This window comes from Homo sapiens, chromosome 12, assembly GCF_000001405.40.
Source record: "Homo sapiens chromosome 12, GRCh38.p14 Primary Assembly".
Taxonomy (NCBI): Eukaryota; Metazoa; Chordata; class Mammalia; order Primates; family Hominidae; genus Homo; species Homo sapiens.
Genome location: NC_000012.12, coordinates 19,357,352 through 19,382,786, shown reverse-complemented (window position 1 = coordinate 19,382,786; position 25,435 = coordinate 19,357,352). Strand labels below are relative to the sequence as shown.

General features: G+C 43.0%; 1 protein-coding gene across 72 annotated transcripts in view, besides 2 other annotated features; it reads right to left on the bottom strand.

The window, feature by feature from the left end:
* Positions 397-446: an enhancer, noted in NCBI's record as "active region_6074". NCBI's record gives its function as "activates an Ori minimal core promoter by ATAC-STARR-seq in GM12878 lymphoblastoid cells {active_cell/tissue: GM12878}" and the evidence as "EXISTENCE:reporter gene assay evidence [ECO:0000049][PMID:35858748]".
* Positions 477-726: an enhancer, noted in NCBI's record as "active region_6073". NCBI's record gives its function as "activates an Ori minimal core promoter by ATAC-STARR-seq in GM12878 lymphoblastoid cells {active_cell/tissue: GM12878}" and the evidence as "EXISTENCE:reporter gene assay evidence [ECO:0000049][PMID:35858748]".
* Positions 6,387-25,435, bottom strand: part of PLEKHA5 (pleckstrin homology domain containing A5) — a 246,668-nt gene continuing 227,619 nt past the window's right edge. For 65 of the 72 annotated variants that reach the window (NR_169820.1, NR_169818.1, NR_169816.1 and 62 more), the window contains 6 exons: positions 24,350-24,559; positions 23,241-23,375; positions 21,081-21,205; positions 16,678-16,823; positions 12,989-13,094; positions 6,387-7,256 (listed from right to left, as the gene is read on the bottom strand). Coding sequence is in view for 66 of the 72 variants with exons in the window: in NM_001256470.2 (NP_001243399.1) it covers positions 13,000-13,094; positions 16,678-16,823; positions 21,081-21,205; positions 23,241-23,375; positions 24,350-24,559 (711 nt within the window). In the remaining 6 variants the exon portion in view is untranslated. Of the gene's footprint in view, positions 7,257-9,103; positions 12,066-12,988; positions 13,095-16,677; positions 16,824-21,080; positions 21,206-23,240; positions 23,376-24,349; positions 24,560-25,435 lie in introns of those variants that run through there. The other 7 variants (NM_001385926.1, NM_001385943.1, NM_001385947.1 and 4 more) reach the window with 3 other exon arrangements.

Here is a 25,435-nt window from a genome sequence, read left to right as displayed (position 1 = left end):
GCATGGTGACACGCTCTGCCTCTCATTGTGTGTGATGCCCTGAGCCTCCCTGGGACTCTGTAGCATACCCACCAGCAACAAAGCCCTCGCCAGACACGGCCTCTTGACCTTGGACTTCTCAGTCTCCAGAACTGTAAAAAATATATTCCTTTTCTTTATAAGATACCATTTTAGGTGTTCTGTTATAAGCAACAGAAAACAAACTAAGACACGGACCAATTTCGTGGAAAAACTTAGGTTTAGGAAGGATGAATACCTTGGCCTGAGAACACACAGTAAAAGTGGCAGAGCTCAGTTCCAACTCAGGTAGCCTAGCACCAGCCTCTGTGCTCCTCCCCAATATACAATGAGGCCCCATAGCAGCAACAGGGTGTTCTGGAGGAACTCAGGCTTCCTGGCAACAGAGTTGGTGGAGGGTCCCTCCTGCCAAGCTAGAATAATCGCCTATACTGTTTCCTACACCAGAAGAATGAAGGTGAAGCTCCTTCTAGGGAAGGGCTGGAATGAGTGAGCTTTCACTCAAAGAGATTGGGTAGGCTTTTCTGAATCTAGTTAATAGAGGACTCGAGGGACTTTCCAGTAAGCTGGTGAGTCACTGAGCGCCGGGACATAGCTGGGGGTTCTATCTCCTGTTCTTAAATGTGTTGTCTCAGGCTTGAATTACATAAACTAGTCCTGCCATATTTTCTCCATGCCTTTCACCCAGCCTTTTACTTTGTTTTCGGTTGACTTTTCACTGTAAATAATTTTAAAACTAAATAAAACATTTAAAATTTCTGCTTTTAAAATACCAATCATACACTTTAAACATTTATTTTCAACCTATCCATGAAGCATTTGATCCATTTTTCAGAAACAGTTCTGGGAAAACTCCTCCCAAATTACTTTAGCATAACAAAAAAATCATTTGTTCCTGCATTAAGTGAATCAGTTTATTCCTTACACATTCATACAGTTGCTCAAAAGTGAGTCTCTCTGCCATATGCTAAATCTATATAAAACTGTTTTGGGCCAGGCACAGTGGCTCATGCCTGTAATCCCAGCACTTTGGGAGGCTGAGGTGAGAAGCTGCTTGAGCTCAGGAGTTTGAGACCTGCCTGGGCAACATGGTGAAACCCATCTCTACAAGAAGTACGAAAATTAGCTGTGGTGACGTGTGCCTGTAGTCCCGGCTACTCGGAAGGCTGAGGTAAGAGGATCGCTTGGGCCTGGGAGTCAAAGGTTGCAGTGAGCCAATATGGTGCCACTGCACTCCAGACTGGGTGACAGAACAAAACCGTCTCAAAAAACAAAACAAAACAAAACCTTGTTGTGGGTAAAGTGAGAAGTATGCACAAATCAATAAACTTACAAATATTTTAGAGGCCAAATAGTCTGGGACAGCTTTCTTCAAATCAGTACACAGAAACATCTCAAGGGTTTGTGAGCGAGAAGAATTTTCATAATTTTCTTGAACTCAGTCTCTAGTTACCTTCTCTCTGATTTCCTGCCCCAAGGCTCCAGAGGTCCTGTGATGAGTTTTTTTTTTTTTTTTTTTTTGAGACGGAGCTGAAGTGCAATGGCATTATCTCGGCTCACCGCAACCTCCACCTCCCAGGTTCAAGTGATTCTCCTGCCTCAGCCTCCCGAGTAGCTGGGATTACAGGCATGTGCCACCACGCCCGGCTAATTTTGTATTTTCAGTAGAGGTGGGGTTTTACCATGTTAGTCAGGCTGGTCTCGAACTCCTGACATCAGGTGATCCACCTGCCTCAGCCTCCTAAAGTGCTGGGATTACCAGCATGAGCCACCTGGTCCGGCCCCACATGAGCTCTTCTTTACACATGAAAACCTTCCTTCTCTGAATCATACTTACCTCAGGGTGTAAAATCCTCCAGGGTGGTGAGAAGTGAATGGGGTCCGGCCTCACATGAGTTCTTCTTTACACATGAAAAACTTACTTCTCTGAAACATACTTACCTCAGGGTGTAAAATCCTCCAGGGTGGTGAGAAGTGAATGACTGTAATGTCCAAGGAACAAGATTTCACAGAAATGGATGGATGGAATTAGAAATAACTAAAGTCATTAAATTTAACATATCATAATTTATTGCGACAAAGTATAAGAGAAATAAAGTAAAAATAAAAGTTCAAGAAGAAAAAGGAATGATGTAAAACCCCTATTAAAAAAGGTATAGGGCTGGGTATGGTGGCTCATGCCTGTAATCCCAGCACTTTGGGAGGCTGAGGTGGGCAGATCACCTGAGGTCAGGAGTTCAAGACCAGCCTGGACAACACAGTGAAAGCCCATTTCTACTAACAATACAAAAAAATTAGCCAGGAGTGGTGGCGGGTGCCTGTACTCTCAGCTACTCAGGAGGCTGAGGCGGGAGAATCACTTAAACCCAGGAGGCAGAGGTTGCAGTGAGTTGAGACTGCACCATTGCACTCCAGCCTGGGCAACAACAGTGAAACTCTGTCTCAAAATAAAATAAAATAAAATAAAGACTGATGTAACAATTTATTTAAAAAGTCAGTATTGGGCCAGGCACGGTGGCTGATGCCTGTAATTTCAGCACTTTGGGAGGCCGAGGCAAGCGGATCACTTGAGGTCAGGAGTTCGAGAACAGCCTGGCCGACACGATGAAACCCCATCTCTACTGAAAATACAAAAATTAGCTGGGCACGGTGGGCAGGCACCTGTAATACCAGCTACTCAGGAGGCTGAGACAGGGGAGTCGCTTGAACCCTGGAGGCAGAGGTTGCAGTAAGCTGGGATTTTGCCATTGCACTCCAGCCTGGGGGACAGAGCAAAACTTCATCTCAGAAAAAAAACAAAAAAACAGGCAGTACTGACAGTATGTCAGAACTTGCATCCTTTTCTTCTGTTTTTTTTTTTTTTTTGAGGCTGAGTTTTGCTGTATTGCCCAGGCTGGAGTGCAGTGATATGATCCTGGTTCACTGCAACCTCCGCCTCCCGGGTTCAAGCAATTCTCCTGCTGCAGCCTCCTGAGTAGCTAGGATTACAGGCACCCCCAACCATGCCTGCCTAAATTTTGCAGTTTTAGTACAGACGAGGTTTCATCATGTTGGCCAGGCTGGTCTCGAACTCCTGACCTCAAGTGATCCGCCCACCTTGGCCTCTCAAAGTGCTAGGATTACAGGCGTGAGCCACCGCACTTGGCCCTTTTCTTCTATTTGAATTTATGAAAAGTTGTAGATGTCAACTTGAAAATGTACAAGGAGGTACAGAGTTGGTTTTTGTTTTTTGGTTTTTTTAGAGAGGGTCTTGCTCTGTCACCCAGGCTGGAGTACAGCAGTGCAATCACACCTCACTGCAGCCTTCATCTCCCAGGCTCAAGTGATCCTCCTGCTTTGGTCTCCTGAGTAGCTAGGACTACAGGCATGCACCACTGTACCCAGCTAATTTTTTTATTTTATTTTTGTAGAGATGGGTTCTCACTATGTCAGCCAGGCTGGTCTTGAACTCCTGGCCTCAAGTGATCCTCCCATCCCAGCCTCCCAAAGTGCTGGGATTACAGATGTGAGACACTGTACCCAGCTGAGTTTTTAAAAACAATTTTGAGGGTATGCCAGCAAAAAAATGTTATGTTTCATTTTTGATCACCATAGCAGTATGACTGTCATCTTTCTATAAACTGGGGGTAGGTAGGTATGAGGGACTTGTAAAGCCATCAACCCAACAGGACACTGAGCACTAAGACAGCCATCAACTCACCAGGAGAGTGAGCACTAAGAACTTCAGAGCAAGCTTCTAAGCCTCTGGGAAGCAGCTCCCTCATGCTGATTTCCCCACCTGAAGTAAAGGCCATGCCAACCTGTCTGCCTTCCTTACCATTAGTCTCCACACTTCCAGGACTGTGTGTGCACCACTCCAGTAAGGGGGAGTTAGATAAGGCAAACTCTGGGTAAGATGGAAGGTACTGATCTAATTAAAAATTTTGAAGAACTAGTATTCCTTTTTGTTATGGCATGTAATAAGCATCTGTGCTGACTTACTGTTTTTGTGTTTTTTTTGAGACAGAGTTTCGTTATGTCGCCCAAGCTAGAGTGCAGTGATGCGATCTTGTCTCACCACAACCTCGGGTTCAAGCGATTCTCCTGCCTCAGCCTCCCAAGTAGCTGGGATTACAGGCACGCGCCACCATGCCTGGCTACTTTTTGTATTTTTAGTAGAGAGAGGATTTCACCATGTTGGCCAGGCTGGTCTCGAATTCCCGACTTCAGGTGATCCACCTGCCTCAGACTCCCAGAATGCTGGGATTACAGGCATGAGCCACCATGCCTGATGGACTTACTGTTTGTGAATAAATGATTTTCATCTGGCTTTCTGAAATGTTGACAAGAATCACAACTAGTTCATGCTGCTTTCTCCATATTTCCTAGGCTTCTAGGGATCCCAGTAAGTAACATTTTTCCTTCTTGGAATAGTTAAAAAATGTTGTGCTTAATAAAACCAAAGAGACACACACACACATATACTCCCTTCCCACAAAAACCCAAACAAGGCTGGGCACGGTAGCTCATGCCTGTAATCCTAGCACTTTGGGAAGCCAAGGTGGGTGGATCACAAGGTCAGGAATTTGAGACCAGCCTGGCTAACATGGTGAAACCCCGTTTCTATTTAAAAATACAAAAATTAGGCCAGGCTCGGTGTAATCGCAGCACTTTGAGAGGCTGTGGTGGGCGGATCATGAGGTCAAGAGATCGAGACCATCCTAGTCAACACGGTGAAACCCCATCTCTACTAAAAATACAAAAATCAGCTGGGTGCGGTGGCTCACACCTGTAATCCCAGCACTTTGGGAGGCCAAGGTGGGTGGATCATGAGGTCAGGAGATTGAGACCATCCTGGCTAACATGGTGAAACCCCGTCTCTACTAAAGAATACAAAAAATTAGCCGGGCATGGTGGCGGGCGCCTGTAGTCCAAGCTACTCAGGAGGCTGAGGCAGGAGAATGGCGTGAACCTGGGAGGTGGAGCTTGCAGTGAGCGGAGATCGTGCCACTGCACTCCAGCCTGGGCGACAGAGCAAGACTCCATCTCAAAAAAACAAAACAAAGAAATACAAAAATCAGCTGGGCGTGGTGGCGGGCTCCTGTAATCCCAGCTACTCGGGAGGCTGAGGCAGGAGAATCCCTTGAACCCAAGAGGCGGAGGTTGCAGTGAGCCTTGATCAGGCCTCTGCACTCCAGCCTGGCAACAGAGCGAGACTCCATCTCAAAAAATCCCCCCAAAACCCCCCAAAATGAGCCTGTAATCCCAGCTACTCAGGAGGCTGAGGCAGGAGAATCGCTTGAACCCAGGAGGCAGAGGTTGCAGTGAGCCGAGATCACACCACTATACTGCAGACTGCGTGACAGAGCAAGACTCCATCTCAAAAAAAAAATAAATAAATAAATAAATAAAAATAAAAAAACCCCAAACAAAACCCGAATAATAGCAATTGTTCCCCAACACACTGACAAAGGATCTGAAACAATCATTGTATCATGACTAAAGGGAAATAATAATTTGGTGACTATTTCTTTTGAGAAGACTTTTGTGTGACACCTTTAGAGAAAGGTAGTATGTGTAAACATATTACACATATGTACATGGACACAGAGAGGTGTCCATTTTAACTTCTGTTTTCTTTCACCTCCCAATATACATTGTATCTATTTTCATTTCATTGTGTTTGCAGAAGAATTTTTATACATTTGCATTTTGAATTAAATCAAAATCCTCTTTAACATAGGATGGGGAGGAAAAAAAGACTGACTAGTGCCAATTTAGTTTCAGCCATTTTATGCAGGAATCCAAAAGCATCAAATTTCCGTGTTTTCTGGGAACAATATATAGCATGAACAAAAGGTTACAGAGGGAAGAAAATGTAATTGATTCTGAAGAGCGTGAACATCTGCAAAGAATGTATTGTAAGAGAAAATGATCTCTGAGGGTCCTACTTACGATGAAACGGTTTCTAGCTACCCATGTCAGACAAACAGCTGCCTTACACACCTCTCTCAAAGTCCAATCCCTAAACAGAGCAGGACTACTGATGCTTGAAGTTACTTTCTGAAACATGGAAGCAAATAGAAACGTGGTAAAAGACTTCACAAAACTAAACTCCTCTAGTGGTAATGAGCTAATGTAATGTACTTAGAGAAAAAGTCAGAAAAAACTATAGTCTGGTCAAAATTCTGTCATTAAATTGTGGCCAACTCAATTGATCTCTTTGAGCCTCAAGGTCCTCAACTTTGACATGGGAGGGTTGGACCGACAAGGATCTTTTAAGATGTTGTCTAGGATTATAAAATTAACAGAGTACCTTTTCTTCTAGAGGTCTCTTGAGTCTTAAGACTTTCAATTTTGGATGGAAAGAACAAAAATTCTAACACTGATTTAAGAACATCAACATTTATTTAACATGATAAAAAAAGAAATGAGATATGAACATTTGCATTTAAACAATAGTAAGTAGCCTTTAATACATTACATGTGCTCATTGTATAATATATACACAATGAACATAATTACATTTGTACACAAACTAAGTACCGGATTTGGAAACCTGCTTATTGCTGTACACATGTATTCCAATGAAATATAAGCCCAGTACTTCAAAATACCTACACTTTGTTTTTTTTTTTTTTAAGAAAAGATAAGCAGTAACATTTGTGTTTAAGCTGACAGGAGTGTGGCAGTAACTGCTGACATTGCAATCTGACCGAGAAAGAATTATAGCAGAAAACAGGACATACTTCACTTAGCAATAAAATGGCACATTTTAAATACATATATATAAAATTTTTACAAATCAAGTGTGAAACAAAAGCACTGCAGTAGCTAAAATGGGAAGAAAAAAAAGAAAACAAGCTTCAATGGAAATAATAACTAACTTTAGAAAATGAAAAGCAAAAAAATATATATATAAATTCACCTAGACTTAAGAAACATCGAAATCTGGAAATCAGCAACTAAGTAAGCTCTGGAAATAGACTGCACATTAAAAAGCACCTTTACTTATGTGCTCTGAAATCATAGCAGCAAGCTGGTGTCAGAATAATAACCTTGAGATTACGAAGTGTACATATGGGCCATTAAAGCTGTTTTGGAATAAACATTTTCCAGAAGTGATAAAATGATGCTCTGTGACCAAAAGCATCAGAACTATGAATTTCATAGATTTAAAATATACTGTACAATATCTTCTTACACTGCTGAAGGTCCATGTCTTTAGCTTTGAATGGTTTCAACAGAAGTCAGTATAGCTGAAAAATAAGAGAGAGGAAATTACTTTGACACCTGCAACGTTAATTAATTACCATTTCCCAAAGTAACTAAGGGTGACATTCTGTAACAACAGAACTGACAAGCATGGCCATGAAAATCCTAAAATACAATACATCAAAGGATATTTTTCTTCATTTCCATAGCTTAATTCACAAAGCAAAGAAACATAATGCAATTTTTTTTTTTTGAGACAGGGTATCACTATCGCCTAGGCTGGGGTGCAGTGGTATGATCCCGGCTCTCTGCAACCTCTGCGTCCTGGGTTCAAGCGATTCTCCTGCCTCAGTCTCCCAACTAGCTGGGATTACAGGCACATATCACCATGCCTGGCTAATTTTTGTATTTTTAGTAGAGACGGGGTTTCACCATGTTGGCCAGGCTGGTCTCGAACCCCTGGCCTCAACTGATCTGACTGCCTTGGCCTCCCAAAGTGCTAGGATTACAGGCATGAGCCACTATACCCGGCCCCACAAGGAAACATAATGTAATGCAATTCTTCTTCCTTCCTCCTCCTCCTCCTTCTCTTCATTATTATTATTATTATCATCATTTTGGAGACGGAGTCTTGCTCTGTTGCCCAGGGTGGAGTGCAGTGGCACGATCTCAGTTCACTGCAACCTCTGCCTCCTGGGTTCCAACAATTCTCCTGCCTCAGCCTCCTGAGTAGCTGGGACTACAGGTGCACATCACCACATCCAGCTAATTTTTTGTATTTTAGTAGAGACGGGGTTTCACCGTGTTGCCCAGGCTGGTCTCAAACTCCTGAACTCAGGCAATCCGCCCGCCTCGGCCTCCCAAAGTGCTAGGATTCCAGGTGTGAGCCACTGCACCTGGCCTTCTTATTATTTTTGAGACTGAGTCTCGCTCTGTCGCCCAGGCTGGAGTGCAGTGGCGCAATCTTGGCTCACTGCAACCTCCACCTCCCGGGTTCAAGTGATTTTCCTGCCTCAGCCTCTAGAGTAGCTGAGACTACAGGTGCATGCCACCACGCCCAGCTAATTTTTGTATTTTCAGTAGAGACGGAGTTTCAACCATGTTGGCCACAATGGTCTCGATCTCCTGACCTTGTGTTCCGCCCGCCTCGGCCTCACAAAGTGTTGGGATTACAGCCGTGAGCCACTGTGCCCGGCCAACATAATGTGATTATAAATAGCAATACAGAATAAAAAATGTACCGCTGGCAACGGCAACCCCCTTTGGGTCCCCTCCCATTTTAGGGGAGCTCTGTTTTCACTCTATTAAATCTTGCAACTGCAAAAAAAAAAAAAAAGTACCAAACGTAGCTGAATCCAAAAGATCAACAAAATGAGCAAACATTTGCATAACTCCACTAAAATACGTAATAATTATTGAGCTGCCTACATCGTAGTGTCATTTGTAAAGGTTTCCTAAATCCTGCCAAAACCACTAGTTCAGAAAGATGGCATATGCATAATAGGAAGATATGAAATAATACAAGTTTTCATGCCTTTAGTTATTTGTGGTAGTTGCATACCATGAGACTAGAAAATATCCGACAATAATCATACCTCATTACAGTATGCCACTGCTCTTGGAATAAGAAGAAAACAAAATAAAATCCTATAACAATTTAAGGAACCTGGAAATATACTTGAGTTTTAACTCTGAATATCCTTTATTATTGGAAGGATATGTGTACAGTCATAATCTGTTTATTGAATCAAAATATTATGTGAATGGCTCTTAATGTATACATTTTTCTACTAAGAGGTCATCAAGTCTTTACATAGATGAAATCAAATGAGTCCAATGTTTATTTTTCCTATGTTTTGTGTTATTACGTCACCAGTAGCAACAGTCACCATTTTTTTTTTTTTTTGAGACAGAGTTTCGTTCTTGTTGCCCAGGCTGGAGTGCAATGGCACGACCTCGGCTCACTGCAACCACTGCCTCTGGGTTCAAGCGATTCTCCTGCCTCAGCCTCCCAAGTAGCTGGGATTACAGGCATGTGCCACCACGCCCAGCTAATTTTGTAATTTTAGTAGAGACTGGGTTTCTCCATGTTGGTCACGCTGGTCAGGAGCCAGGTGATCTGCCTGCCTCGGCCTCCCAAAGTGCTGGGATTACAGGTGTGGGCCACCACACCCAGATTTTTTTTTTTTTTTTTGAGACAAAGTCTTGTTCTGTCACCCAGGCCGGAGTGCGATGGTGTGATCTCGGCTCACTGCAACCTCTGCCTCCCAGGTTCAAGCGATTCTCCTGTCTCAGCCTCCCAGGTAGCTGGGATTACAGGCGCCTGACACCATGCCCAGCTAATTTTTGTATTTTTAAGTAGAGATGGGGTTTTACCATGTTGGCCAGGCTGGTCCTGAACTCCCGACCTCAAGTGATCCACCAGCCCTGGCCTCCCAAAGTGCTGGCATTACCGCACCTGGCCTCAACAGTCATTTCTAAACATATTAAATTAAAAGTTTAAACATAGCCAGGCGTGATGGCTCAATCTTGTAATCTCAGCACTTTGGGAGATTGAGGCGGGCAGAGCGCTTGAGCTCAGGAGTTTGAGACCAGCCTGGGCAACACGGTGAAACCCCTACTCTACAAAAAATACAAAAAAATCAGCCAGGCTTGGTGGCACAGGCGTGTGGTCCCAGCTACTTGGGAGGCTGTCGTGGGAGGATCACTTAAGCCCAGGAGGGCAAGGCTCCAAGATCTCACCATTGCACTCCAGTGTGGGTGACAGGGTGAGACCTGGTCTCAACAAAAAAAAAAAAAAGAAAAAAGAAAAAAGAAAAAAGGCTTAAACACAAGTGACAAAGGCAGAACACAGGTAAGACTATCACAGTTAGGTTATTTGTAACTCTCCAGCAAGCACTTCAGTCCTGCACAGATACCAACTGACAAAAACAGAAGCCTCTTTGAGGTTCCAGGTAGACATAATCTCAAATAAAAGTTACAAATATGAAAAGACAACAAAATACTTTGGGCTGAAAAAAAGGGCACAGATTATAGTTCCTACAATAAGGTGTGAAAGGAAGTAGATTCCAGAAAACAGGATGGGAGGAAATATTTGCAAACTATGCATCCAACAAAGGACTAATATCCAGAATCTGGAAGGAACTCAAAACAAATCAGCAAGAAAAAAAAAACAAAAACAAATAATCCCATCAAAAAGTGGGCAAATGACGCGAATAGGCATTTCTCAAAAGAAGGTACACAACAATGAGATGCCTCCTTATTCCTGCAAGAATGGCCATAATTGGCCGGGTGCAGTGGGTCACGCCAGCACTTTGGGAGGCCGAGGTGGGCGGATCATGAGGTCAAGAGATCGAGACCATACTGGCCAACATGGTGAAACCCCATCTCTACTAAAAATTCAAAAATTAGCTGGGTGTGGTGGCACACGCCTGTAGTCCCAGCTACGGGGGAGGCTGAGGCAGGAGAATCACTTGAACCCTGGAGGAGGAGGTTGCAGTGAGCCAAGATCACGCCACTGCACTCCAGCCTGCTGACAGAGCGAGACTCCATCTCAAAAACAAAAAAAAAGAATGGCCATAATTTAAAAGTCAAAAAACAACAGATGTTGGTATGGATGTGGTGAGAAGAAAACACTTTTACACTGCTGGTGGGAATGTAAACTAGTACAACCACTACGGAAAACAGTGTGGAGATTCCTTAAAGAACTAAAAGTAGATCCAGCATTTGATCCAGCAATCCCACTACTGAGTATCGACCCAAAAGAAAACAAGTCATTACATAAAAAAGATACATGCACATGCATGTTTATAGCAGCACAATTTGCAACTCCAAGGGTATGGAACCAACCTAAGAGTCCACCAACCAAGGAGTGGATAAAGAAAATGTGGTTTATATACACCATGGAATACTACTCAGCAATAAAAAGGAACAAAATAATGTATTTTGCAGCAACTTGGATGGAGCTGGAGGCCATTATTCTAAGTAAAGTAACTCAGGAAAGGAAAACCAAATATCATATGTTCTCACTTATAAGTTGGAGCTACACTATGGGTATGCAAAGGCATACAGTGTGGTATAATGGACTTTGGAGACTCAGAAGGGAGAGGGTGGAAGGTCGGTGAAGGATTGGGTACAACATACACTACTCGGGTAATGGGTGCACTAAAATCTCAGACTTCACCACTATACAATTCTTCCATGTAACCCAAAACCACTTGTACCCAAAGCTAGTGAAATTTAAAAAATGCTTGAAAAGGAAGAAAAAAGGCTGGGTGTGGTGGCTCACACCTGTAATCTCAGCACTTTGGGAGGCTGAGGCGGACAGATCACTTGAGCTCAGGAGCTTGAGATCAGCCTGGGCAACATGGTGAAAACTCCATCTCTGCAAAACAATTAGCCTGGCATGGTGGCATACACCTGTAGTCCCAGCTACTCAGGGGGCTGAGGTGGGAGGATTGCTTGAGCCTGGGAGGTCAGCCTTCAGTGAGCCATTGAGCCATGATCTTGCACCACTGCACTCCAGCCTGGGTGACAGAGTAAGACCTTGCCTCGAAAAAAAAAAAAAAAGGAGAGAAAATAAAAGAAATATTTTGAGAATGTGAAAATCAAAGAGGCTAGGCACAGTGGCTCATGCAGTGGGAGGGTAGCTTGAATTCAGGAGTTTGAGACCAGCGTGGACAACTTAGTAAGACTGTCTCTATAAGAAAATCGAAATATCAGCCGAGTGTGGTGGCGTGCACTTGTGATCCCAGCTACTTGTGAGGCTGAGGCAGGACGACTGCTTGAGCCCAGGAGGTCAAGGCTGCAGTGAGCTGTGATTATGCCACTACACTCCAGCATGGGGGACATCTCTGAAAAAAGAAATAACATAAAAAAAACAAGAAAATAAAAAAACAAAAAGATGTTAGTACTAATGCTTATAATGTCTCTATATGTTTCTGCTGCTGTTCAGCAGAAAATGGTGGTAATCCTAAAGCACCAAACTTACTAGATATGGTAGATGCTGTGAGAAAGAAAATGCAGAAAAAGGCATAACATTCTTACTCTACACCAGAGCTTTTATAAAAAGTTAAAAAACTTTTAGAGTACGCTATAAGTACTAAATTCTAGGTTAAAATTAGCAATTGTCTAGAAAGTTTAAAAGTAAGAATTCAGGAAACTATTCTCAATTATAAATCTGTGCTCTAAGGAACATTGTTCAAGAAAGGATTCCTTCTTCTCCCTGATACCATCCATGGTTTTAGTAATTACCTCCCTGACTTAATAGAATTCAATTACTTAGAAATAATATCAGATAGACATTAAAGATTTTAATATTCCATCAAGTTGGCTGTACCATAAACATTTCATTGTCATTTACAATAATTAGCAAACTCCCAGTGGGCAGACATGTCACCCTAACTGTAAAAAGCATTACATAGTCAACGTGTAATGACTTAAACAAAATTCTCAGGTCGCTATGGAAAGGAACATTAAGTAGAAGCACAGCTGCACAACACTGCAAGTCTTGGCACAGGCCATACCCTCCAAATTTTGTTGTTTTTCTGGATGATGAAATAAGAGACAAAGAAAATGCTGTCACACAGCAAATCATCAGAGGAGCCAATGTTAGCAATCTGTTACCAACCCTGGTTCCAAGATATGCCTACTTGTTCTGCCAACTATCCCTATGTACAGTCCAGAACTAATCCCAGTTTTGATTCACTAAACCAACAGATAAGTCATAAAATTCAAGTAAAAAACTAAAGCACAAATGCAAAGGGAAATGACGTACTTCTTCTAAGACTACACACACATGAAATGTGATCCTTCTGTGAGCTGCGGCTGAGTGGATGGAACTGGCGATGCCGAGGACTCAGGAGATGGGGACAGACTTTTCACTAAAACACACAAAGAAAATGGGAGAAGATAAAAATCTTTAAGACACATTTGGAGAAGTAAATCCTGATGCTGTAATCCCACAAAAATTAGAACATGTTTTGAGAAGGAAGTAATAGATACATTTGGTTCTATTGTGATTTTTTCTTTTTAAATAATTAAAAACAAATTTTTATTAATTGAGATGGGGTCTCACCATGTTGACCAGGCTGGTCTTGAACTCCTGGCATCATGCAATCCTCCCATCTTGGTCTCCCGAAGTGTTGGGATTATGTGCCCAGCCTGTTATTTTCTAATTTGCAATCTAATTATTCAGTATAAAATATTTCCTGACAACTACTTAAAAATTTTTTTTTTTTTGGCTGGGCGTGGTGGCTCATGTCTGTAATCCCACCACTTTGGGAGGCCGAGGCAGGCGGATCATTTGAGGTCAGGAGTTCGAGACCAGCCAGGCCAACATGGTGAAACCCCGACTCTACTAAAAATACAAAAATTAGTCAGACATGGTAGCTCGTGCCTGTAGTCCTAGCTACTTAGGAGGCCGGGGTAGGAGAAATGCTTGAACCCAAGAGCCAGAGGCTGCAATGAGCTGAGATTGTACCACTGTACTCTAGCCTGGGCAAGAGAGCAAGACTTTGTCTCAAACAACAACAACAACAACAAAAAACAAACAAACAAAAAAAATACTTTACATTTTTTTTTTCTGCTTTGAGGTTAATTTTCTGTTGGAACTTTTTTTAGTTCTATGCAGCTAAATACTATGGATGATTTAAATGTTGTGGTTTTAATACTATCATAACACTTTGATCCAGACCTGCTGCATAATAACCAAAACTGGCCAGTGACAATTTTTTTTTTAACAAGTGAGACCTCCTGTGCACACTACCTTATTCATTTATTTAGAGACAGAATTTCGCTCTTTGTTGCCCAGGCTGGAGTGCAGTGGCGTGATCTCGGCTCATCACAACCTCTGCCTCCCAAGTTCAAGCGATTCTCCTGCCTCAGCCTCCTGAGTAGCTGGGATTACAGGCATGGCCACCATGCCTGGCTAATTTTGTATTTTTAGTAGAGACGGGGTTTCTCCATGTTGGTCAGGCTGGTCTCGAACTCCAAACCTCAGGTGATCCACCTGCCTCAGTCTCCCAAAGTGCTGGGATTATAGGCGTGAGCCACTGTGCCTGGCTATTTATTTATTTTTTGAGACAGGGTCTTGCTCTGTTGCTCAGGCTGGAAAGCAGTAATGCAGTCACACAGCTCATTGTAGCCTCAACCTCCTGGGCTCAGGTGATCCTCCTACCTCAGCCTCCTGAGAAGCTGGGTCTATAGTGCCATCCCATCCGGCTAATTTTTTAAAAGCATTATTTTTAGTAGAAACGTTGTCTTGTTACATTGCCTAGGCTGGTCTTGAACTCCTGAGCTCAAGCAATACTCCTGCCTTGGCTTCCGAAAGTGCTGAGATTATAGGCGTGAGCCACTGCACCCAGCTCATACTGCCTTGTAAGTGACAGAGGCAAAGGAAAAGGCAGTGCTTAGTATTTGTTACAAGGGAACATGACTGGTAATATAAATTTATAATTTATTTTAAATAAGTAAATTAAATAAAGTTTATTTTATTTAAATTTATAACATACACGTTATATTTATATAAGATACGGAAGATGTTCTGCCCAGAACCCCATGCTTTTCCTAAGAAGAATGGTCCTGAATACTTGAATTTCATTGTTTCTTACTCTTCTGCAAAAGGGCAGGAGTGGTGGCGGGGTTTTGTAGGAATGGTTTTTTACTTATGGACTACAAGAAGCAAAGCTGGGCCGGGCGCAGTGGCTCATGCCTATAATCCCAGCACTTTGGGAGGCCGAGGCGGGCGGATCACGAGGCCAGGAGATTGAGACCAACCTGGCTAACAGTGAAACCCTATCTCTACTAAAAAAAAAAAAAATACAAAAAATTAGCCAGGCGTGGTGACGGACACCTACAGTCCCAGCTACTCAGGAGGCTGAGGCAGAAGAATGGCATGAACCCAGGAGGCGGAGCTTGCAGTGAGTGGAGATCGCGCCACTGCACTCCAGCCTGGGCAACAGAGCAAGACTCCATCTCAAAAATAAAATAAAATAAAATAAAATAAAAAAGAAGCAAAGCTGGCTGGGCATGGTGGCTCACGCCTGTAATCCTAGCACTTTGGGAAGCTGAGGTGGGTGGATCACCTGAGGTCAGGAGTTCAAGACCAGCCTGGCCAACATGGCGAGACCCTGCCTCTACAAAAATACAAAAATTAGCTGGGCGTGGTGGTGGGCACCTATAATCCCAGCTACTTGGGAGGCTGAGGCAGGAGAATCGCTTGAACCTGGGAGGTGGAGATTGCAGTGAGCTGAGATCACGCCACATCACTCCAGCCTGGGTGAAAGAGCTTCAAAAAAAAAAAAAAAAAAAAAAAAAGAAGAAGCAAAGCGATAATATGCACTAATTCCCATCCCTGTTCCCAAAAAATCATAAAGAAAAAGAGTAAAAGGGCCGGGCATGGTGGCTTATGCCTGTAATCCCAGCACTTTGGGAGGTTGAGGCGCGCTGATCACTGGAGGTCAGGAGTTCCAGACCAGCCTGGCCAACATAGTAACCCCCATCTGTACTACAAATACAAAAAATTAGCCGGGTGTGGTGGCACACACCTGTAGTCCCAGCTACTAGGGAGGCAGAGGTTGCAGTGAGCCAAGATAGCGCCACTGCACTCCAGCGCTGGCAACAGAGGGAGTACTCTGCCTCCAGGAAAAAAAAAGAAAAGATTTGTGAAGAGTCCAAAAAATATGAGAGAATAGAGCACAGAACAACTTGTTTTTTTTAAAATGCCATGGATAATAATTTTCTACAATTGAAGGAACAGCCAGGTATGGATTATAGCAATGCTGGAGTAAACAAACCCATTCTATTAGTTTAGATATTAAATCCTCCACAGTTCCCAATGTGGCAGGCTTGTGAATACTCTGAGAATCTAGCCCTGAGAACAGATAGATTTTCCAAGTACTGAAAGATTTTCTTTTCTTTTCTGAGAAGGAGTCTCGCTCTGTCACCCAGGCTGGAGTGCAGTGGCACGATCTCGGCTCACTGCAACCTCCGCCTCTGGGGTTCAAGCAATTCTCTGCCTCAGCCTCCTGAGTAGCTGGGATTGGAGGTGGCTGCCACCATGCCCGGCTAATTTTTTGTATTTTTAGTAGAGACGGGGTTTCACTATCTTGGCCAGGCTGGTCTTGAACCCCTGACCTCGTGGTCCACCTGCCTCGGCCTCCCAAAATGCTGGATTACAGGTGTGAGCCACCGCACCCGGCCAAAAGATTTTATTAGAAAAAGTTTACTCTATGTGTTAAAATTGAAAGGAAAAAGCAAAACCAAAGCCAATGTGTTGATCCCTCTGCCAGGGTAGACTCTGGCAGGGGCTGCATCCTCCTGAAGGTACACTTGGGGAGGCAAACGTTGACTCATCTGTAGTCAAGGTACTTAAGCGATTCCCTTCTTAGAATCTCCCCATGGAAAATAAATTTAGAAGTTCAGAGGAAGCACCAGGTAGAAAATTATGAAGTGTATACTACCTACCTGCCATTGTTTGATTTCCTCTAGAAACCTCAGGAGTTGATTCGTAAGAAATAACAGTTTCTTCCTGTTCGTCAACACTGTTCTTTGTATTTTCTTCAGGATGCTCTTCTGGTTTATGATTTGCGGTCTGTGTTTCATCTTGAGGGCTGATGAAAATAGATTGGTATTTAAAAATTTGTCACTATAGAATACAATTAATTTTTCTTTTTTTTGTTATAAAAGATGCCACCACCTATGTTTAACAACGAACATTTTCTTACAATTAATCTTTTCTTTCTTTTGAAAGTTTCAAACAAAAGAATTAGAGCAAATAATAAACCTGTATATTCATTTCAATAATTACTTGGTTTGCCAATCTTGCTTCATCTAAGCCCTAAAATCCTTGCTCCCTAAACCATTTAAAGCAGATTCTACATATGATATTTAATTTGTAAGTACTTCAGAACATATTTTTAATATGTTAATGCCATCAAATATCCAGTCAGTGCTTAAATTTTCCTGGTGCCTCATAATGTCATTTTAGAATTAGAATCAGGATCCAAACAAGGTCCATATATTGCCTGACAAATTCCTTAAAGTCTACTTTAATCCAAAACAAACTGCCCCAGATCCCTTTTATTCTTTGCCATTTATATGTAAAAGAACTTGGTCTATCTGTCCTATATAGTTTATCACATTCTGGATTCTGATGATTGTATCCCTCAGGATTTTCTATAAAGTTATAAGATTTTTTTTTTTTTTTTTGAGACGGAGTCTCACTCTGTCGCCCAGGCTGGAGTGCAGTGGCGCGATCTAGGCTCACTGCAAGCTCACCTCCCAGGTTCTCACCATTCTCCTGCCTCAGCCTCCCGAGTAGCAGGGACTACGGGCGCCTGCCACCACGTCCGGCTTTTTGTATTTTTAGTAGAGACGGGGTTTCACCGTGTTAGCCAGGATGGTCTCGATCTCCTGACCTCTTGATCTGCCCACCTCAGCCTCCCAAAGTGGTGGGATTACAGGCGTGACCTACTGCGCCTGGCCAAAGTTATATGATTTTAAGGCTTATTCAAATTTAGGTTTTGGAGGGGCAAGTAGCACTTCATTAGGTGGGTGTCATGAACTATTGCATTAACAGATTGTTTCTTTTTGTGATGTTAAAAATGATCAGTGTGGCTGAGCGCGGTGGCTCACGCCTGTAATCACAGCACTTTGAGAGGCCAAGGCAGGATCATGAGGTCAGGAGTTCAAGACCAGCCTAGCCAAGATGGTGAAACTCTGTTTCTACTAAAATACAAAAATTAGCCGGGCACAGTGGCAGGCGCCTATAAACCCAGCTACTTGGGAGGCTGAGGCAGGAGAACTGCTTGAATCGGGCGGCGGGGCAGAGGTTGCAGTGAGCCAAGATTGCGCCACTGCACGCCAGCCTGGGCGACAGAGTGAGATCCCGTCTCAAAAAAAAAACAAACATTAGTGAGTTCAGGGGTTATTGGGTTGACCCATTCATATAAAGATCCTTGTCAGATTTTCAGCTGATAGCTTTGGCAGCCACTGAGGAATATTGTTCAAATCCATTATGGCATTAGGGCTAGCAAAGCAATGACACATATATATTTTTTTTTTGAGGCAGATTCTCACTCTGTCGCCCAGGCTGGAGTACAGTGGCGGGATCTCGGCTCACTGAGACCTCCGCCTCCCTGGCTCAAGCAATTCTTGTGCCTCAGTCTCACAAGCAGGTGGGATTACAGGAATGTACCACTATGCCCGGATAATTTTTGTATTTTTAGTAGAGACAGTGTTTCACCATATTATTGGCCAGGCTAGTTTCAAACTCCTGACCTCAATTGATCTGCCCACCTCAGCCTCCCAAACTGCTGGGATTTCAGGCACGAGCCACTGCACCCTGCCACAAAACAATGATACTCTGACTCCCACTTGAAATTCTTCTAAAAATAAGTTTCCTCAAACTATTTGGTTACAATTTGGGAAAAAAACATGATAAATACTTGATCCTTTCCCTTAATGTACCAAGTTTTGGAATTAAAAGTTGATTCTCTAGCATCCTCCAAAATGGCCAACAAGTAATTTTTTTGTTGTTGTATCATTATGAACTCATCAATTTTTAATATACTGTGTTTTAATCTATGCTTCTTAATACAAAAATTCAGCAGAGATATTTTTCTTAGCAGACATTGCCAAATACTTTTCAAATTCAATCTTGCTATTCATTTAAGAAATCAAGGCATTCCTAATAACAGTAAACCACAGCATTTCTGTTTTCTAGTGCCGGTAATATGTTTAATGGAGGGAAAGATTGAAGATATACTCTTAAGGCCAGTTAAGGCTGGGTATGGTGGCTTATGTCTGTAATCCCAGCACTTTGGGAGGCTGAGGCGGGTGGATCACCTGAGGTCAGGAATTTGAGGCCAGCCTGGCCAACATGGCGAAACCCCGTCTCTACTAAAAATACAAAAATTAGCTGGGCATGGTGGCACACGCTTGTAATCCCAGCTACTTGGGAGGCTGAGGCAGGAGAATCGCTTGAACCCAGGAGGTGGAGGTTGCAGTGTGCCTAGATTGCACTACTGCACTCCAGCCTGGGTGACAGAGTGAGACTCTGTCTCAAAAAAAAAAAAAGAAGGCTAGTTAAGAAATATAGCTAAAAATGGCCAGGCACGATGGCTCACGCCTGTAATACCAGCACTTTGGGAGGCCAAGGCGGGCTGATCATGAGTCAGGAGATCGAGACCATCCTGGCTAACACGGTGAAACCCCGTCTCTACTAAAAATAAAAAAAAAAATAAAAAAATAAAAATTAGCCATGCGTGGTGACACGCGCCTGTAGTCTGAGCTACTCAGGAGGCTGAGGCAGGAGAATTGCTTGAACCCAGGAGGCAGAGGTTCCCTCCGGGAACCGAGTGCAGTGGACCAAGATTGCGCCATTGCACTCCAGCCAGGGCAACAGAGCGAGACTCTGTCTCAAAAACAAAAAAACAACAACAAAAAAAAAACAAAAAAAGAAATATAGCTAAAAGAAAAAAGAAAATCACCATAATTTCTGGAACTCTTATGAGACAGCTTAGAATTTTGACCAATGTCAATCATTACCTGGGAAGACTGATTTCAGGGCCCCCCCACAGATAGCAAAATCTGCAGATGCTCCAGTCCCTTATATCAAATGGCATAGTACAGTTGGCCCTCCAGATCCATGGGTTCGGAATCCATGGATATGGAGGGCCGACTGTAAAGGCATAAATCCATGAATATGGAGGGCCGACTGCATAGGCAGTGATGAATTGCTTACTCTGCTACAGCTTATATGCCTTTTGACTTTTTTTTTTTAAGGTATTTATCTCTCTTTTTAAAATTTTTTTGAGACAGGGTCTTGCTCTGTTGCCGAGGCTGGAGTGTAGTAACGTGATCATGGCTCACTGCAGCCTTGACCTCCCATGTTCAAGCAATCCTCCCACCTCAGTTTCCTGAGTAGCTGGAACTACAGGCATGCACCTGGGGTAAGGTATCATTTATTGAATACTTCCTAGGTGCTAAGCACAGTGTAAAGTGCTGTACATGTATTTTCTTTTTTTTTCCTTTTCTTTTGAGATGGAGTCTCACTCTGACGCCCAGGCTGGAGTGTAGTGGTGTGATCTTGGCTCACTGCAACCTCTGCCTCCTGGGTTCAAGCATTTCTCCTGCCTCAGCCTCCCAAGTAGCTGGGACCACAGACATGCACCACCATGTCTGGCTAATTTTTGTACTTTTAGTAGAGACAGGGTTTTACCATGTTGGCCAGGCTGGTCTCAAACTCCTGACTTCTAGTGATCTGCCCCCGTTGGCCTCCCAAAGTGCTGGGATTACAGGCATAAGCCACTGCTCCTGGCCACATGTGTTTTCGTATTAATCTTTACAACACACCTGTCAGATAGATACTGTTATTATGCCTTTTTTTTTTTTTTTTTTTTTTTTGAGACAGAGTCTCACTCTGTTGCCCAGGCTGGAGTATACTGGCACAATCATGGGTCACTGCAGCCTCGAGCTCTTGGGCTCAAGTGATCTTCTCACCTCAGCCTCCGAGTACAGACTAGGACTACAGGCACATGCCACCATGCCTGGCTAATTTTTTTTTTCAGAGATGAGGTCTCATTATGTTGCCCAGGCTGGTCTTGAATTCCTGGGCTCAGGTGATCCTCCTGCCTTGGCCTTTCAAAGTGCTGGAATTATAGATGTGCACCAGTGCGTCCAGCCCTATTGCCATTTTTACAAGTGAGGAATGTGTAGTTTAAGAGGTTATATAACTTGCTCAAGATTCTATAGCTCCTAGGTAGCTAAGCTGGGGCTGAAATCCAGTACTTTTGACTCTGAAGTTCACCATTTTTAAGCAGTTACACAGTTTTGTGAATGATTCCTTTGCTTTTCTTAAATATTACCTGAATGTAACATCCTCAGGCATTTTGTCTTTGTTTCTTTCTTTATCCATCATTTCCACAGAATTTACTCCATTTGGCTCAGGTTCAAAAAGCATTTCATATGAAATGTTTTCAGTTTTTTTTAACTGTAGAATAAAAAGAAAAATTTTCTTTTCAAAGAATTCTTATCACATTAGATTAGCATATCTAAAATAATTCCAAAATAAAGTTTATTGAACAATCACGGTCGGGCGTGATGGCTCACGCCTGTAATCCCAGCACTTTGGGAGGCCGAGAAGGGCGGATCACGAGGTCAGGAGATTGAGACCATCCTGGCTAACACGGTGAAACACTGTCTCTACTGAAAATACAAAAAAATTAGTGGGGTGTGGTGGCGGGCGCCTGTAGTCCCAGCTACTCGGGAGGCTGAGGCAGGAGAATGGCGTGAACCTGGCAGGTGGAGCATGCAGTGAGCGGAGATCGCGGACTGCACTCCAGCCTGGGTGACAGAGCGAGACTCCGTCTCAAAACAAACAAACAAACAAAAAAATAAATAAACAATCACACTCTATCAAATATTTACTGATAATAAATTTAGGTTCAAGTATATTAATAATATTAACATTCTTTACTACTAGGATGCAAAAAGTTATTTGTCTAAAGAGATGATGCAGGCCGGGCACAGTGGCTCACACCTGTAATCCCAGCACTTTGGGAGGCTGAGGCGGGCAGATCACGAGGTCAGGAGTTCGAGACCAGCCTGGTCAACATGGTGAAACTCCGTCTCTACTAATAACACAAAAAATTAGCTGGGCGTGGTGGCACATGCCTGTAATCCTAGCTACTTGGGAGGCTAAGGCAGGAGAATCACTTGAACCTGGGAGGCAGAGGTTGCAGTGAGCCAAGATCACGCCACTGTACTCCAGCCTGGGCGACAGGGTCAGATTCTGTCTCAAAAAAAAGAGATGGTGCATATTGCTAAGACCTAGCTGTTGGGATATAAGATTCCTTAACCGGGATTAATGATAATTTAATCTAGCTGTGACTGATTATGTTTTAAATTTTCAGTTAATGCATTTTTTTTTAATTTTTCTTTTTTTCTTTTTCTTTTTTCTTTTTTTTGAGACGGAATCTCACTCTGTCCTCCAGGCTGCAGGGTAGTGTGGCGCGATCTCAGCTCATTGCAACCTCTGACTCCCGGGTTCAAGCGATTCTCCTGCTTCAGCCTCCCAAGTAGTGATTACAGGCATGTGTCACTGTGCCTGGCTAACTCTTGTATTTTTTAGTAGATATGGGGTTTCACTATGTTTGCGAGGCTGATCTCGAACTCCGGGCCTCAAGTGATCCACTCGCCTTGGCCTCCAAAGTGCTGGGATTACAGGCATGAGCCACTGTGCCCGCCACGTTTTTTTTGTTTTTTTTTTTGAAACAGGATCTCACTCTGTGGCCCATCTCTACTCACTGCGACTTGGGCTCAGGTGATCCTCCCACCTCAGCTTCCCCAGTAGCAGTTGGGACTACAGGTGCATGCCACCACACCTGGCTAATTTTTGTATTCAGTATTGGCAGGGTTTCACCATGTTGCCCAGGCTGGTCTCAAACTTCTGGGCTCAAGTGATCCGCCTGCCTCAGCTTCTCAAAGTGCTGGGATTACACACACCAGCCACCGTGCCCAGTCAATTAATGCATATCTTGATGTGGCTGAATACATCAATCAAACTAAAGAAAGCTTAATTTTTCCTTTTTCTTTTTTTTTTTGAGATGGAGTCTCCCTCCCTCTGTCGCCCAGGCTGGAGTGTAGTGGCGCGATCTCGGCTCACTGCAAGCTCCGCCTCCCAGATTCACGCCATTCTCCTGCCTCAGCCTCCCCAGTAGCTGGGACTACAGGAGCCTGCCACCAAGCCCGGCTAATTTTTTTTTGCATTTTTAGTAGAGACGGGGTTTTACCGTGTTAGCCAGGATGGTCTCGATCTCCTGACCTCGTGATTCGCCTGCCTCAGCCTCCCAAAGTGCTGGGATTACAGACGTGAGCCACCGCGCCCGGCCAGAAAGCTTATTTTTTCATTTAGCTCTATGGACTCTGTGACTGAAAGAAACACACTTTATTTTCAACCTTACCACTTGATTTAATCTTCACAAATCTATTCCTTTGGAATACCTTTCATAAAATAATCTCGCTACCTCTTTGCTGAAGTCCACATTTTGGGGTTCGGTTTCTTTTAGTTGAACAATTTCTGTTGCAGGAGTTTCATGGTCTGGCTTTACATCATTTTCTCTAATGGCAGTGTCCAGTTCCTTATCATCCCTCCTTCGAGTCTGCTCAAAAGACATATAGCATTTTTATACTCATACTGTGCATGCATGTATATTTTATAAATAGTGCCTGTTAATTCTCAAAATAGAACAAAGCTGGATCTCCACTCATGAAGAAGTTTTCCTATGAAAACTAACAAAGAAAATTTATATATATAGCACTATTCCACACATTTTTCTCAACTCTTTTAAAAAAAACCATTCATTTTGTAATTTGCAGAATGTGCCACAATTCAAACTGTTGCTTTGTTTAGTCTCCATTAGCAATGCCTGCACTTGATTCGGTGGAAAGAGGGGATATTCATTAGGACAGGAAAGCATGTTCAGCTGATGCATTCAGTTTATGCCATTATAGACAAACTTTTAAGATACTATTGCTAGGTGACAAGTGTCTACAAACAGGGAAAGACCAGACAGAAGCTACTGAACAGGTTGGCTAGGCTGCTGTCTCTGAATTTATAAAGAGGGGCAAAAAACAAAAAGAAACAAAATGGCATCACTTTATAAGCCTGAAGTTGAGAGGTGATGGACAGCACACTTGGAACTTTATTTAGAAGCTCTCTCCTGCTACAATTTAGGTCATGTTAAATCAGGACACAGAGCAATACATATTTTATTGAGAGGGGAATTGGGGACTATCTTGGTAACCTGCATAGCATTTTACATTTGTTGAAAACCCTTTTATTTTCTTAGTGTCTCTAAGGAGTCTGGGCAGCTGTATCATCACTGTAAAGTTGAAGACATTAAGTCCACAACTAGTCCACGGGCATCCAACATGTAGTTTAGCTCTGGTCTCTTGAACTCAGGGTTATTTACATTTTACTTAGCTGTCTTAGCTTATTATTAGGAGAATTAAATAATATAAAATAAGTATCCATACTGCAGACCTTTTAAGACCTATCAATCATGTAACTCTGATTCCAAAATTCAGTGATACTAGATTTACACAAAATAATAATCAAATGCAATTCATATACCTGAGTAGTCCTAAATGGATTATCCCTTAAATTTGAAGGGCTTTGTAAGGGTGACTGGTCTGAAGCACCGATAACATTTAACCCTTTTTTCTTCTCCCTCAGGCACGCTTGTTGATGTCTTCTTATTCTTTCCATTTGCTCTTCCACAGTCATCCTTGGTCGAGTACTTTCAGCCAAACAGAGCTGTTCCACTGCACTTCTTGGTCTTTCCTTCAATGTAAAAATGAACATATCAATACATAAATGAAAACTTCTGAAAAGTATGATGGAATAAAAAATGTTGTAAAGTGCATTTATTTATTTTGTTTTCAAAATCACAAGAAGAGGTTTTGAATGTCATTTAGATATCACCAGAAAGGCACATGAAATTGCTATTTGATCCTTAACTAGTAATTGGTGATGTATGCTCAATAACAGAAAGAAAAAGAGACGATATTATAAGGGAGGAGAGAGAAAAGAGGAATAGAAAATATTTTTTTGGCTTAAAAAAAAAATATGGACCAGGAGTGGTGGCTCACACCTATAATCCCAGCACTTTGGGACCCTGAGGTGGGTGGATTACTTGAGCCCAGGAGTTTGAGACCAGCCTGGGCAACATGGTAAAAACCCGTCTCTACCAAAAATACAAAAATTAGCCAGGCAGGTGTGGTGGTATATGCCTATAGTCCCAGCTACTTGGGAGGCTGAGGTAGGAGGATGGTTTGAGCCCAGGAGGTGGAGGTTGCAGCGAGCTGAGATCGTGCTACTGCACTCCAGCATGCAGATGACATGACAGAGCCAGATGCCATCTCAAACAAACAAACAAACAAACAAACAAACCCCCATAACTCAGTTCCAGTAAATCTGGGTAAAACAAAAAACACCATCACCACCACCATAAAAGGGCAGGGCAGGCTGGGTGCAGTGGCTCACGCCTATAATCCCAGTACTTTGGGAGGCTGAGGCAGGTGGATCACTTGAGATCAGGAGTTCAAGACCAGCCTGGCCAACATGGCGAAACCCTGTCTCTATAAAAGTACAAAAAATTTAGCCAGGCATGGTGGCTCATGCCAGTAGTCCCAGCTACTCGGGAGGCTGAGGTGGGAG